The 16,469-nt window shown below is 37.5% G+C and overlaps 1 protein-coding gene across 2 annotated transcripts, besides 1 other annotated feature; it reads right to left on the reverse strand.

The window, feature by feature from the left end:
• On the reverse strand, positions 1,947-16,137 carry SMNDC1 (survival motor neuron domain containing 1). Of its 2 annotated transcripts, none has more exons than NM_005871.4 (6): positions 15,965-16,137; positions 14,685-14,804; positions 9,865-10,007; positions 8,784-8,945; positions 6,445-6,598; positions 1,947-5,504 (listed from the first exon to the last, which is right to left on the reverse strand). In NM_005871.4, the coding sequence occupies exons 2-6, from the start codon at positions 14,802-14,804 to the stop codon at positions 5,367-5,369; spliced, it is 717 nt and encodes a 238-aa protein (NP_005862.1). In that variant the 5' UTR covers positions 15,965-16,137; the 3' UTR covers positions 1,947-5,366. The 2 variants fall into 2 exon arrangements, with proteins under 2 accessions (NP_005862.1, XP_047280394.1); XM_047424438.1 differs by lacking the exon at positions 15,965-16,137 and adding an exon at positions 11,764-11,953 and having other exon boundaries at positions 14,685-14,788.
• Positions 15,649-15,968: a silencer, noted in NCBI's record as "silent region_2813". NCBI's record gives its function as "represses an Ori minimal core promoter by ATAC-STARR-seq in GM12878 lymphoblastoid cells {active_cell/tissue: GM12878}" and the evidence as "EXISTENCE:reporter gene assay evidence [ECO:0000049][PMID:35858748]".

The raw sequence follows: 16,469 nt of genomic DNA on the forward strand, positions 1-16,469 counted from the left end.
AGCAATTCTCCTGCCTCAGCCTCCTGAGTGGCTGGGACTATGGCATGTGCCACCACACCCGGCTAATTTTTGTATTTGTTAGTAGAGAGGGCATTTCACCATGTTGGTCAGGCTGGTCTCGAACTCCTGGCCTTATGTGATCCGCCCACCTTGGCCTCCCGAAGTGCTGAGATTACAGGTGTGAGCCACTGCACCCAGCCTCCTATAGAATTTCTTAAATGAAGGCTTTATAAGATTAATGCAGCATCAGTTTTAGTGATTAGTTGGTCTTTCTAGAAAAAAGAAAAAGGACTAATCTCAAGTTGAACATATTATACACTGATAATAATGTGCCCTAGGTCAGTATTTAGTGCTGACTTTGCCAAGAAAAGACAATCAGCAGCTATCTCCTTTCCTATGTATCAGAACTAATAGGAAACTGGTTTTCTTGTGGAATATGTCAGATTGTTTTAAATAGGCAGCGTAGTTCAAAATAAATGTACTGGCTGAAAACTTCACTTCCTGTTGTTTTACCTTTCTATACAGTCATAAATTAGAGAAAATGGCTTTAAATGAAGTTCTTTTAAGATACTGCCAACTAACTTACTGTAGTTTTGGAATTTTTTCCATATCCTCAAGCTCATAGCTCTTTGCCATGGGGAATGCTTTAAAAATCTTTATTGGTAGGGTAATAATTGAGATACTTATTTCAGATGCTCACACCAGGGCACAGAATAGCACTGTAAAAATATAACAAAACCTATAAAAGTACCTCTAAAATTATAAGAAGAATATACATTTAAGATCAGTCGTTTCTAAATTAGTAGCTTCATCACACTTAGAAAGCTAGGTCAACTAAACCTGAGGGGCGATTTTGGAGGGAAAAACTCCAGGCAAAAGAATTAAAGGGATACTTACTCCTTCCTGCTACTTCTGAACAATGAACATTTGGACAGTTACCATCTATTAAAGTGATTACTAGCCTAGCTTCAGATCTCAGGCTTCAACTCTAGTTTCCCAGGATATGGAGTCAAGTGTTTCCTCCAAGCCTGAATTCTTTGTTTCTCTGGTCAGAAATTCACTGCATCTTGCTAAAGTAAGTACAGGGCTTGAAAGGGGAAAAAACAAAAGCACATCAGTTTTACCAAGAAAGGTAAATCCTGAGCCAGCAAACAACAACCATAACTTTCAGCCCCAAGTTGAGAAAGTAGCTCTTCAAACAAAATGCCAACCTTCTCTCCTAATGATTATCACCATGGCTCTTTCAGCCGTATTCTTAAAAAAGACTAAGTGGAGAAACAAATTACAGTTTAAATAATTCCAGTGACTATACTGGTTTTGTTTTAAATGAACTGGTAAGGTGTGTGGTGGAACTAAGTTTCCAGTTTTTGTTGCCTGGGAACTGAAAGATTAATTAAATATCCAAAACTTCGTATTTTTAGCTAGTTCAGCTGTCAACTACTACAAACCCCTATTATTCTCAGTTCTGCTTTACCCCAATCAAGGCCACAAAAGAACCACCTTTATATACATAAGTTAAAAGGCAGAAAAGGCAATTAAAACACCTCACAGAAATCTAACACTATTTTGTTTTATTTTACTCTTTTGGCTAGGCCAAAACGAATTATTAAAATGTTCCATCTATAAAATTGATTTCTGAACCTCTTAAGATGTTTCTTAAGAACATAACTATACACATACATAGGCCTTTTAAAAGATGATTGGATAAAGGGCGCCAATTACTTGGGTTTTTCTGTTTGTTTAAAATACAGTATTACCTGTTATTTTGCCTGCTATGCTCCTCCTCTCTACTGCAGTAAAAATTCAGTTTAACTTGCAACTCAAAAATCCTAGATACAAAGAATGTTTACATTTACTGTTGAACTTGTAAATTGCCATTTATACTAATTGATTGCTTCGTAGTACCATACAGATACTTAATTCAGCTGATATTTATTGAATCAAGATTTAAAAAAATATAAAACCTCATTGGTTTTAATAGATTTTCTTCCTTTATATTTCAGTTACTACCCAAGTTAAAGCAAAAAGCTAAATCAAAGCTTTAAATTTTTTTTGGTTGAATTTACAACTGGTAGTTTTTTATCTTATAAAAATTGTAATTATAAAATTACAATCTACAGACACATGAGTCACACAACTACAGTTTTCCTTTATGTTAACCTGATGGTCTCCTTTGCTATTTTTAAGGCAGACATTTGGCATTAGAATTGCATACTGGAAACAGACACACACCCTTCATTGTGACAACAAGCAATTTTTTAAAAAAAATGTGTTGCTACAGTAACTGATGCATCTTGTTTTGGTTTGACGCCTAGTCTTCATGATTAGGCTAAAAGGTAATTTTTCTTCATTTCCAAAGTCAAACTTTTATAGTTAACAGTTCTCAGACGGGGATGCACATCAGGATCACCTGCGGTGTTCGTCAAACAACATACCTTGGCCTGGATAAGTCTAAGGTTGGTCCCAGGCCCACAAATTCCTCTTTAATTTTAAACAAGCATTAGGGGTGACTTTTATTATAACCTTCACCCCCTTCCCATTAAGAAACATGCCCTAGTATACAAATTAGTTCAAACCTTTAACTAGGAATACTAAATATACCCTACAGCCTTGGTAATTTGATAACACTTCAATAATACAGTTATAATTGGATGCCTCAAATCATAAACAATGGGTATTGTTATCCATTGTAATGTGGATTGCTATTCAAGTTAAGGAAAAAATATCAGATAATTCACCACTGCCACTCTGCAGAGTAATAGCAGACGCTTCTATAGTGCTTATGCCGGATACTCTTAAGCTATTTACACATTTGAATTCAATCCTTAAAACTGAAACAGATTTTTCCATTCTACAGCTGAGAAAAATGAATCAGAGGAATACACAGGTAATAAATGGGAATACACAGGTAATAAATGGTAATAAACAAACACTAGTCTGGCTCTAGAGTCCTTGCTGTTTTCCAGTATGCTCTGTGGCCTCCCTACATGTTAATTAAAATAGCACTTGTTACCTGTGATTACCACTAAAACTCAACATTTTATTTTCGGGAGGTTAGGACTGTTCTTTCCTTGAAATGGTAACAACAGTCAAACGTCAAGCTTTGGTAAGTTACATGCAACCATTTCTACTTAGGGGCCCATAACTCAATATTTAACATTTCAGTCTGTCACAGTTTCAAAGCTTCAAGTCTCCTTTCTTAATGGGGAAAACTCTACATTAAATTTTCTAACAAAGCTTTTTAAGGTCAAGGTTTATATTTTGTTTCAGAATATAGAGAGCTTAACCACCTTCAACTGTAAAATACTGTGGGTATCATGCTTCTCATTGAGCATCTTCTCAAATTCAGTATCACACTGTGACAGGTAGTCTCCCCAGGAGTCCTGCCTCTTAGTTCAGAGACACAAACATCATCCTGACACTAGGATTTTCCAAAGGGCCACATCTAGATCTTTGACACAAAGGTTGCTGATTTCATTCTAAAGGTCTATTTTCAAAACATTTTTTTTTAAGGTCACTTTTATTCTTTTTCTCTCTCCTACTGCAAAGTCCTCTGGGAAAACTAAGGCCCCCCAGGGTCAAAAGAGGGACAAGACTGTTAACAGTCCTGCCTACACAAACATCAAGTGAATTACTATTCTAATACCACCAAGGTAATCTCAACAACCATTTTCTGGGGTCACACAATGACACCAAATTTCTTCCCAGTGCTTTTTAATTCAAAGGATTCTCTTGCAATCCATCAAGGCTACTCTTGATTATTGATAAGCTCTTAAGATGTTACAATAACAAAGTATATTTTATTTAGAAGTTTACAGGCTTCAACAAACCCTTTTTCTACTGCAGTTTGTGCCTTTCTGTCCTTTGTGTCCTACCCTGTGGCCACGAATTATATGAAGAAAAAGTGACCCTCCTGGGTTGAGAGGGGTGGGTGTGGAAGGGAGAGATGAAGAATTCTACCTACCACTGTCCTAAGTTTCAATTTATAAAAAAAATTAAAATTCATGAAATAAAAACTTATTTTCCCCTTCCACCAAAAATCTACAAACACCCATTAAAATGAGGACATCCTATAAACACAGGCCTGGTTTGCCCTTTAAGATCCAATTTCTTCTAATGGAAGGAATACTTAAGCATTTACTGAAACCTCTCACACACTCAGTATTCTCTTGCATGAATGCCGTGTGCAAGTACTTGGAGGTTTAATTGCTTTAAGTGCTGACAGCTAAAGACTTTACCCTTTTGTTAACACACCCTGGAGATTTTAAAAACACTTTATTTAATAAAAGTTAAACATACAAAACTGAAATAATACACATCCTAAAAATTACCTTCTTCCATTAATAGGAAGACCCTTTTCTATGCATGTATTTGGCTTAAACTCAACTCAGGATAACTGTGATGATGTTCACTTACACCAACAAATGCAGACAACCTGATCTAATTAACAAAAATTACAAACAGCTAAATGAACATAATATACAGGGAAATTATCGTCAGATTAATGCACAAGAAATACAAGAAATTTTTAATGATGAAATATTCAGTATTCTTGTTCATTAATTTAGCCTTGTGTTTTTACAAAAATAGTATCTACACTGTATACAGGGCTATACATCAGCTTTTTGTTCTCCCATATAAACATCACACATCCAAAACATGGTACCACTGCCGTAAATGGAAAAAACAAAAAACAGGAAAAAAGCAAACATACAAAAAACAAAAACACCTTAGAAAAGGGAGCTCATCCTAAGGTTTCTTACATAAAACTAAGAGTACATAAAAATAAAACAGCTAGATCAATTTTAGAGATGGCCTAATAGGCCTGGGAAACAAGTTATTGAGGAAAAACCTCAAAACAAACTTTGCCATTTACAAATTAACCTATCTTTAAGCTTAACTGAACGACAGCTAAGTTTTAAAGCTGAAAATAAGAAAAATGAAAAGATCTCTTTTAGCAGGTTGGTGTTTTTGCCTTGGTGTTCCAATGAATTGCTAGAGTATGTGTCAAGTTCAAAGCATCTGAAAATTTCAAGTTACAACTTACAAAAAGTACACACCATAGGTTAAGTAGGCGCCTGATATTAGGAAGATCAATAATTCATCTAAGTGCTGTATGAAACAGCATCTACAAAAGTTGCTTTATTCAACAAACTTTGAGGGAACCGTGGTACTGATAATGAGAAAAGTTAAATGAATAGCAGTTATCAAATGCAATTTCTTCACGTTTCATTCTACTGAAGCCAACCAATGACGACAATGGTATCTTGCTTACTCATCTAACAAATAATTTACCTTTAGAAAAATATAAGGATAAAAAGGTAAATGTAAAGCCCTGCAGAGATGAAATCCAACAGTTTTTCTGATTATTGAGGCATCAAATGCCTGACATTGTATTTAGAGGTATCTTGATATTGTGTCATAGGTTTATCAGCAATTCCACAGGTTCCTACTCCAACTTTACCAGTCACACTCTCAGGTGAAGCAAAAATACTCCTCTTTACCTAAGGGAAAGAAAACAGAAATCATTCCTGATTAGTGTTGGAAAAAATAAAAAATTTCAAATTTTAAGTAATGTTAAAATATATTCTGGTTTCAACGTTTAAAAGAAGAAAAACATATTGCCTTTGTTTAGTGTTAAAAAATGGGTACAGAAGTGGTCCCATGCTGGAAGCCATTTACTGTAACTTCTAAGTTGTGGAAAATATCATTACATTTACTAATACTCATAACACTTGCCTTCTGATACGTCAAAATTTTAGTTTTGTAAACGCAAATCCTAACTTCAGCTGTGAGCTAGCCATTCTAGCATGATTAAAGCTCTGGCTGTATTGTGGTTTACTGTGGGGCCTGTTATGATAGCCAAATTGTGAAGTCCCTTGGCCTTTGTCACAAAATAAACATCTTTATGAAAAGGAAGCGCTTCTTTCCAGAAGCCATGTCCATCAATGGAAGGGCTACCTTGATGGCAGTGAAGAGTAACACATGGGTGAAAGTCAGGTTATCCTTATTCTCAACTTCCTATATGAATGCTACAGTTATTTTCTACCCAACACACACAAGGTAAGTGTATCAAGGGAAACTGAATGCACTTTTAAATAAAATCTACCAGTGATGCCCAGCATGAAGGCATGTTAACAAAGCAGATAGAGTTAAGCACACTGCCTCTAAGTAGCAACTATTTTTTCAAATATTAGTTTATAGAAGGAAAAGAACATAGACCTTTTGTAATTTCTGATATAAATTCTCTCATTTGTAATATTTTTATTGCAGAGACAATGGCTAACATTTTTCAATAAGTTAAATTGAGCATCAACAAGGATTCGGAATACAAAATCTGAGTTAATCATACTTTACAAAAAATCTCCATCTCTTTTCATTTTAAAGTTATTTTAATGACAGTTGCATTTCTCAAATTTACAAAGTGTAAAAAGATTTACCAACCTGGCCTTTTTTGTTTTTAGAATAGGCTCTGTTGTTGAATTGTTGCCATTTCACTTTCTGGTCCTCTCTTTCCTGCTCAAGTTCTTTTATTCTCTGAGCTTTTTTCAAAGCTTTCTTCTTTTTATATTCACGCTGCTGGGCAATCATTTCTTTTCTGCATGAAAAAAAGTTAAATGTCAACTGTTAAGACTTATCATACAAGAATGACTTCCTTGAAGACACCGGCAGTGCAAAAAAAAAATCTAATAAACATATACAATGGTCTATGAATAAAAAGTACTAAATCATTAAAATCAGTACCAATCACCCAGAATTACTAAGAAATGTTTTTTTAAAAAATGGCATCCTTGGAAGCTTTCAAACATAACTGTAATCTATTTACCCATATAAGGTAAATATTTCAACTATGCCTTTTTTTTTTTTTTGGCGACAAAGTCTTGTTCTGTTGCCCAGACTGGAGTTGGAGTACAGTGGCACAATCTTGGCTCACAGCAACCTCCACCTCCTGGGTTCAAGAGATTCTTGTGCCTCACCCTCCCAAGTAGCTGGGACTACAGGCACATGCCACCATGCCCAGCTAACTTTTATATTTTTAGTAGAGATAGGGTTTCACCATGTTGGCCAGAATGGTCTTTAACTCCTGGCCTCAAGTGATCTGCCTGCCTTGGCCTCCCAAAGTGTTGGGATTACAGGCTTGAGCCACTGCGCCCAGCCTTAATTATGACTTTCTATTTTACTTTTGTATAGCTGTTACCAGTTGTTTTAGGAATAAGTTGAGTTTCAGTATTAATGGGTATCTAAGCCTTCAACTACTTCCAAATAGACATAGTTAACAAGTGCAGCATTTAGAAAAAAATGTATGAAGAGATTCGATGCAGATAAAATATTTTACCTACATTGGAAGAATGCAGCAGCACAAATGGAAATCATAGCTAATAATTCTCACCAAAACAAAACACCTGGGGGTTTCAAAAACATTCTAAATAAGATTCTAAATAGGATCAGAGCCTAAAACCCCCAATAATTTCTGCTCAGTTAACACTGACTTCTCACCAAAAGGATGAAAAGAAAGATCCTTAAGAGGGGCAATATCTAGACTCCCCGGTACCATATTACCACCATGAAGCTATGGCTTTTTACACAGATGACAAAGACATTAAAAAATATATATATACATTGTTCTAGAATTTTATTTTATTGGAATGCTTACATTAATATATAATTTTTGCATATTCAAATATAAATATGTAGCAACTTAAGTTTCAAAAACTCTTGACAAATCAAAAGACTAAGTTGTGGCAAATATGCAGAAGTTCACCAAAATATTGTTAATTCTGCCTCTTACTTTTCAAAACTGCATAGTTCCCCATTCCCATTGCAACTCCCTGGGTTCAGGCCATCATCTTATACCTGGATCACAGCAGTAGTTGCCTCTCCCTACTGACAGTGATCATTCTAAAGCTCAAATGTGATCACATCATATCCCCTCTACTTAAAATGTTATCGGTGGCTTACAAGCTCTTTATGTTCTGGACTTTACCTCTCTAATCTCTTCTCAGACCACCCACCTTCCAGGCCCCAAGTTTTTACCACAGGGATTTGTTACTTGTACGTGCTCACCTCCCCCCTTTAAAAAAAATTTACTAAGCTCTTACTACATGTAAAGAACTGTTACAAGCTTTACTAACACTTATCGTTTGAATCCTCACAACCCAATAATGTACTGCCCCTATCTTACAGATGAGGAAACAGAGTTAAACAGCTTCTCCAAGGTCATAATGCTCATTAATAACAAAGAATTCAAGCCCAGATCAACATCATACCGCCTTGTAGCTTTGTACTTGGCTCTTACTCTTTTCAAATCTCAGTTTAGATGTCATTTTCTCAAAGAAATCTGCCCTAATAATAAAAGTGGAGGCTGAGTACCTCTTGTTCCCTTACAGTACCTGTTATAGCTCCTTTGTAATGTTTACACTGTACTATTAAAGCACTTCATTAATGATGAGTTTTCTTCTCTAAATATAAACTCAGTTGGGACAAGGCCTGAGGTGGTCTCCTGTGGTATAGCCCCAGTACCTGGCTTATAAAATATGCTGGGAAGATGTTCATTGTACATAGTTATCTTCTTAATATTTACTGAATGCCTAAATGGGAATCAAAATTATCTTCACTTTACTTAGGCACACTTACACAGACAATGTTGACCCTTTGTTGCTAATCTTCAAAACAACGGTAAAACAGTATTACAACTTTCTTATGCATAGATTCTCTCTGCAGACTACTTCAAGTATCCAAATGGGGAAGATTGCACCTAAAATGGAAAAGTCAAAGTCACTTACTTTGACATGGGTTTGTTGCCACTGTCCTCCTTTGCCTTCCTTCCTTCTTCTACAGGCTTGAGGTTCAACAGTGGAGTCACTTCAGCATTGCCATAACCAGCAAAGGTGATTGCAGCGGTGCCATTTTCTTCATCTATCTCCTCAATCTCCGCTTCATAACACCTGTAAAGATATCATGGCTGTAAGCAGGTGAGTAAAGGTTTAGTACTCAGCCTACAAGACTTATACTGTAGTGATAAAATTATTACATGTGTCTATAATGAAACTTCTATAATCAAATGGTTGTTTCAGCAAAGAGAATACAAAAGAGTGGTTGAAGTTAGTTATCTGCTATCAAAAAAGGACATCCCAATCATAATATTGCTGGGCAAGTCTCTTACATGTACCTACTCAACGTGATTTAATGTCTTTGAGAATAGAGGTTTCTTTTTTTCTCTTTTTTGCGACAGAGTCTCACTGTCGCCCAGGCTGGAGTGCAGTAGTGCAATCTCAGCTCACTTCAACCTCCGCCTCCCAGGTTCAAACAATTCTCATGCCTCAGTCTCCCAAGTAGCTGGGATTACAGGCACACGCCACCACACCTAACTGATTTTTGTATTTTTAGTAGAGATGGGGTTTCACCATGTTGGTCAGGCTGCTCTCCAACTCCTGACCTCAAGCGATCTGCCTGCCTCAGCCTCCCAAAGTGCTGAGATTACAGGCATGAGCCACCACACCCAGCGAAAAGATATTTCTTATAGGAATGATGTCAGTGTATGCTCTTCACAGAATTCTCAGAAAAACCAACCATTCACTCAATTTTCAATTAGAGAAAATAATTTAGATTATTTTAGAAAACACCCATTCATTGTCCTGTTTTTCTTTCCTCCAGAATCCCAGCCATTCTTCTCCCCAAAACTTAATCTAAAGCTAAAACTAAACTGTATTAATGGCAACCACCCAAGAATCAAATTGGCTCTATAAATCATACTGCCTAATAGAAGTCAAGATTAAAATAGGGTAGTTAAAACTGAATAAAAACTTCTTACCATTGTATTTTATTATTTCATGTTATAGTTAGAGTTTTTTTTTCTACACTTACTGTCCATCTTCACTCCAGACTGCCATACACTTGTCTCCTACTTTCCATGAATGAGTAGGTTGAGTAGAAGCAAAACTGTCTGAACTTGCAAGCGTCTCAGAAGGTTGAGTTGACAGAAGGTCTTTGGTTAGTTCTATAACTTCCTAAAAAAGAAAAACAAAAACTACAACATTATTTTTATAATTCTCATTGTCAACTTAGTTTCTGATGACAGCCTTCATACTGTACGTTAAGTACTCTACATATATTTCATTTGCAGCTCATAACACTATTAAGCAAGTACTGTGATTATCCCCATGTAGAAACTGATACAGTATTGTCTACCAGTTAAGTGGCAGAGCTGTGACTTAAGCCCATATAGTTGCCTTTCAACTTAACCACAAATACTAATGAAAATATAAGACTTGAGCTTATACCATGCATTATTTCTAAGTGCCTATTTTAGCTGAATAGATCTCTCTAAAGATGAGAAAGTCAAGTATGAGGCACTGAATTAGATACTCTTATTGTAACATATTTTATGCAACTGTACTGTTTTATAGGGCATTACTCAGCAGTATTAACTGCCAAGCAATCCCAAAACACTTTAAGCAGCTTTATTAGTAACAAAAATGTTCCTACTTATACATATCTCGACTAAAATACTACAGGCAATGTAAAAGAAACCAGTGGTCTTCCTATTCAATTATTGTAAAACTCACCCCATCTGGGTAAGCAAATTACCAGGTTAGATTTTAAATGTTCCATACCTTAATGTTAAGCACATTAGCACAGCTTCATTTAAAAGGGGGAAAAAAAGGTAACACACAAAGGCAATGCCTTTCTGTGTGGCAAATATTTTTTTCTAATTCAGGCTTACATTTATTGGCTTCATTCAAAGATGTTTGGTGTAGGGATGGCTAAAAAATTGAGAACAGTACAAGCCGACAGATTCTGCTACCTGTCTACTATATTGTTACTCTAATGAAGATCCACACTATGCATCTTATCTGATCTAAGAACTTGCATAGCTGTTCACCCATTGTTGCATTTAAAACATCATACTGTGTGTTTGGGGAGAAAAATTAACAAAGTTAAACTATGTACTGAGTTTCTTCTAGTTCCCACTGAGGTTTCATAATAGTAATTTTGATTCCAGTAGCCAAGAAAGTTAAATATTACCTCTCTCCTAAAGATTCTAAATCTTCCTGGCTATTTCTGAAAAAACTAATATTTGAGTCTTAAATCTCTTGAAGAAAGGTTAGTTTTATAAATAAATAAATAGAACACTTAGGTTTGATTTAAAAATTTAGTAGGAATAATATCTCTAAGTTTTATTAGTTGCCAACTAGCCATTAATTAGATCTTTTTAATTAGACAGTCCTTTGCAAACAAAGCAAAGAACCTTCCAAATAACTAGATCAAGTAGTACACAACAGAAGAGTAAATTATCTGGTCTTATTTTTAACCACTTTTAGGGGTAGGAATGTAATCCAGTCAGCCTGACTCAAGAGCCCACACAAATCTCTATCATTAAATACTTCCAGATCCACCTAGGGATCATTTAACTTAAGCACAGACATGAATTCTGCACTTGTAGGTTTCAGATTTAGAACTCTATTTCTTTTAGGACAGAACTGTTTTCCAAATATATTTTGTTAAAGAAATATATTTCATCAAAGAAAAGGGTCCTGAAAAGCTGTGCATATTAGTGAATTCAGAGGCCTGTGCTGAAATGACCCTTTTTTAGAAAAAATCCAGAGCATTTACTCCTAATGTCCTTTAACTTTGCCATGGTTTTACATAACCCTCCCAACAAACTATGAAGAACCTTCTAAATTTCTATTCTTCACATGTGCGTATGGACCAAAGTATTAGAAAAACTATTTTATGTATGAGGGGGTTCTTGAAGGTACATACCATTAATTACTTTTCCTCCCTCAAGTCTGAGTTCTGAAACTGCTCCTTCATCGACAGATGGGCAGCAGTTACAGTAATCGGCAATTCCAGGAAGCATCAGGTGTTGTGATCTACATATCAGCAGGTCAAATGGGGTGCACTCAAGCACTCTGCTTACTGAAGGAAGGCGTTTCGGGGATGCAGAGAGCCACTGTAATATATGAGACAAGTGACTTGACCCCTGCCTCCTTTAGAACCAGCTTATTCAGCAAAACAGCCTAATAAATTGACTATCTCTGATTATCATAGACTGCCCGGGGAGCTAGTCAGCTAGCTAGCCTGGATTTTATCACACCCACTTTTTTAAGTGAAAAAAGAAAGGCAGGACTTTAGTAGATTATTTTGCTGCCTGCTGAATAACTTTAGTCTCTATGAAAGACAGTACATGAAAGAGATAAACATGGAAACCTTACTGGCAAAATGAAGTCATTGAAAAGATGCAAAAAAAGCATTTTGTCATAAAACAAAGGGCAAACAAATTAATAACTGGGATAAGGATCTAATTCTATAGAGGAACACAAGAAATTAGAAACCATATGATGGTCAAAAAATATTAATATGAGGAAGCCACAAAATCAGTCTGAACAGACTTTTCACCAAATATAACAAGCTGAATTAAATACCCATAGCATGAGATACATCCCAGAAGGCAGAGAAGGAAAAAGGAGGGGAATGAGGGGGGGAACCCCACAGCAAAATAGAAGCTGTTAAGTGTAGTCTCAATGGAGACAACAATTACTGAGTGGAAGCTTATAGCCAAATACTTTTCAGAGTATTACCTCATCTTAAAAGATGGTTTCCGTTTTTGAGTAGTTTTCAATTCAAAATAGACCTTATCTAGGGACCAAAATGAAATTTCTAATGATAGAATAAAATGGGAAGAAACTCTGATCAAGACTGGTCAGGAAAAACATTCTGTTATTACTATCTGAAGTATTAAAACTTGCACTTCTAAATCCTTGCCATCCAGTATGGTAGTCACGTGTGGCTAATTAAGTTATACTAAAAACTCAGCTCCTAAGTAAACCTAGCTGTATTTCAAATATCCAACCAAATGTGGCTAGTGGCTATGGTACTGAATAGCAGATATAGAACATTTCCATCATCACAGAAAGTTCTACTGGACAGTGCTGTTTTAAATGGTTATAGAAAAGAGGATACTTTACAGAAAAATGATTTCCAGGTCATTATTAACTGAACCCCTGCAAGCAAGCCTTTTAGGGGCTTACTACAGTGTTTATCACAATGGTTTCCCCCTACAGTACTTTCCACTATGATGATCATGACATGGTAAGGCAGTTCTGCTCAGACTCTAATGAGGAATTATTCTAGAAATATTAAAAAGACCTGATGATAATGCTATTTCTAACTCCACTCCCAACTTCCCCAACCCAACCAGTTCAACAAATACCCCTCCTCCCACTGCCCAAGAAGCAATATACAAAACATTGGCACCCAGTGTTTTCTTTTCCTAAAAAAGGACTGCTTAAGTTGGTAAAGGTAGTCAAGGCATCTCTCTTTGGGGCAAACAGAAAGCACTTTACAGAGTGTAAGAAAATAAGAGGTCGGTGTGCCTCTGTTGCCTCATCTTCAATGTATACTCACAACATATGAGCAAATCAAATGGACAGGTGGCAAACCACTGGGTTATTTCTCACTTAAGGGCCTGGGAGTGGGAGAAACTGCTCCCAAAACATCTTTTTTGTATTGACTGGCACCCTGAAGCCCACAGGCCTGGCTTCTACGTATCGAAGAGGGGTCTTGTTCATATTGAAATTAACCCAGATAGTTTGTGTGTGTTTAAAAATAACATACTACTGCAATTTTATTCTAAATGTAGAACTTGAAAGTATTCAACTCATCTTAATTACGCCCAGATAAGCAGTTCCAGAATCCCAAATCCGGACCCTATTTCCGTTAAGTTTGTTTGCAGTTCTGATATCCCTAAAATAGTAATAGTTTTAACGGGCAGTGGGATAATAAAGGGAGGGAATGAATTTTTAGACAGGATACAGATTTGAGTTTAGTACTCAGTCGGTAAAGCAATCTCTAATCAAAACACCCTTGAAACTTTTTAAAAATCAGGTTCAGAATTTAAAGGAAGCTCTTAAAAGTCATATATATTTGCAAATTATATATGGCATTTTTCTGAATCAGTCTGGTGTCCTGAAACACAAAAGGTATTTACTATGATGGCTCTATGTTTGTCTTGAAATCCCAGTGCAGGTTTTCAAAAAAAGGTTTCATTATCTACTAAACTCTACCATGACAAAGATCTCCTTTTCACCACATAGTTCAATTTCCACAAGTGTCAACAACTTTACTGTAAAACCTAGCCTTAAGTCTGAACATCTATGTAACAATTATACAAAGCACTTGTCTCTCTTTAGGCATTTTTGTGGTGTGTTTTCAATACAAAATGTAATCCACTAGCTTTGGGGAAAAAAAAAAGGCACGCATTTTCAAAGAATCTTGTGGTATTAAAAAGAATCTTAAGGTTCTATTTTTCTCCTTCAATCTTTGTTACTTTTTGAACTAAATTTCATTTGCCAGGTCTTAAAAACTAAAAGCGTTTTTCATTGTGAAGTTACATGTACCTCTCGTCTTGAAAATCTGACAGACTTGGAAATTTCTATCAACTTTAGTTTTTAAAAATTATGTAAGCACACAAGATTTATATAACAAAGAACAATATTTCACTCTGATGTACAGAAACCTGAGAACTGGGGAAGCAACCCTACTTCTACAAGCAATGGTACCTACAGAATTTACATATATACATAGGGTGGGGTGTAACCCCTCAAAAGGCGCTTTGGGTACTTAGGGATTCAAGCAATAATTTGAAAAACAGAGAAAAAGTACAATTGTCTACCCATACTTACTTGTAAATCTTTCTTCAATTTTAGCAAATCTTCATTTTCTCCATTTCCAGATAATGCAGCTTCAACTTGCTGGAGCTGAGCTTTGTAGCTTGCCAGCTGCTTTGCTAAATCCTCTGACATCTAGGGAAAATAAAAAGGGTTAGACCATGAAAACTAAACCAAAAATCAAGGCATAAAAAACTAACTCCCCTGTCTGCCTGAATTACCAGTTTTTGCCTCTAACTCCTTCTAACACTGCAGCTTAATTTACCACCATTACCTTTACTCTCAGTTTAGACTTCAGCTAAACCACAAACTTAAAGGCAACAGATTCTGAGGATTATAAACTTGAGATACATTCCATACTTTAAAAAAGCATACAGATACAAAGAAATTTCTAATTTTCTTTTAACTCCTATCCACAGGGTAGGTGCTGAATTCGGCTCAATAATCAGTGTTATCTTTTTAAAAAGCACTACTCTGTTGGAAAAGTCGAAACTTTCAAAAACAATCCAAATACTTATTTTTAAGCACTACAGTATGCTTCCAAAGCCAAACAAGTGCGTTTTTAAATTAACTACACAAACTACGATCTTTACTTGAACTATTCAATTAAGAGTGTATTTAAAAGTGCCTCTCCAAAACAAAAATCTTTCGCCCAGTCGCTTAAATATTTATCGGTGCATTATCTTCAGCAAAAAGAACAGCACAGGTACTCTCCCATTTAGGCATTCTAACGAATGTGCCTTTCGCCAAATCCAGCTCAGTCATTTTCCTGAAAATAAGATACCAATTAACCTTTTTTGATGGTTTATAAGCAAATGTACCACGTTTCCGAGGACCCTTCTCCTTCGTAAAATTCCCGTCCAACCAAAGGCTGGGAGCCTGCAAAGGCCCCCTAAGAGTTACAGCGACCCAGGCTGCTCTCCTCCCCGCCACGCAGCACCTCAAAGCCCGCCACAACTCGATCATTCGGACGTGGAAATCCACACGCCAGCTCCAAGACCACCGCCGGAGCCCCGCCGCGCTCCAACAGGCAGGCTCCACAGGGAGCCGCGCGGCGCCCAGCCCCACCCGACCCGGTCCCCTGCGGGCCGTGTTTGCCGCCGCCGCACGGAGGCCAGCGCCGGCCGGGCCGCCGAGGCTCAGCTCTGGCTGAGAGACGGCCGTGGCTCCGGGATCCAGGGCCAGCGCCTGGGCGTCTCCGGCGAGGCGGGCTCCTCAGCCTTGGGCCTCCGCTTCACCTCGGGAGGGACCCGGGCCCGGCCAGGCCTTACTCTCTCCCTCAGGGGGGTTGTTACCTTGTGTGGGGCTGGGGGCGGGGCGGCGGGAAGGGGTCGGGGCAAATGAGCCCAGTGGTAGTGGCGGTGGCAGCAGCAGCAGTAGCAGTAGCAGGAAAATCACCGCGACGACAGCAAGGCGACCCGGTCTGAAAAGGAAGAACTCGGTCGGCGGCGAGGGGGAAGGGAGGAACGCCGGGCACTGGAAGGAGGAAAAGACAGAGACGGTGAAGTCTCGCGAGAAATACAAACTCTCGCGCGAGGTCGCTCGACTCACGTGACTCCGCGCGCCCTCTAGCCAGTCCCTGGCTGTCAGGGACACGAAGTAGGCGGGGCCTAGGAAGGAAATGGCGTAGCTGGGCTTCGCCAGGCGCGGAATGCAGGTTATCTTCCTGGAGTTCCGGCTTGGAATTTATTGGAAATGCAAATTCTCAAGCCCCACCCCAGACCTCCTGAATCCAGAGACTCTTGTTTTAATAAGCTCACCAGATGATACCAATGTCCGCTGACGTTTGAGAACCACTGC

The sequence above is a fragment of the Homo sapiens genome, chromosome 10 (assembly GCF_000001405.40).
Source record: "Homo sapiens chromosome 10, GRCh38.p14 Primary Assembly".
NCBI classification, from domain to species: domain Eukaryota; kingdom Metazoa; phylum Chordata; class Mammalia; order Primates; family Hominidae; genus Homo; species Homo sapiens.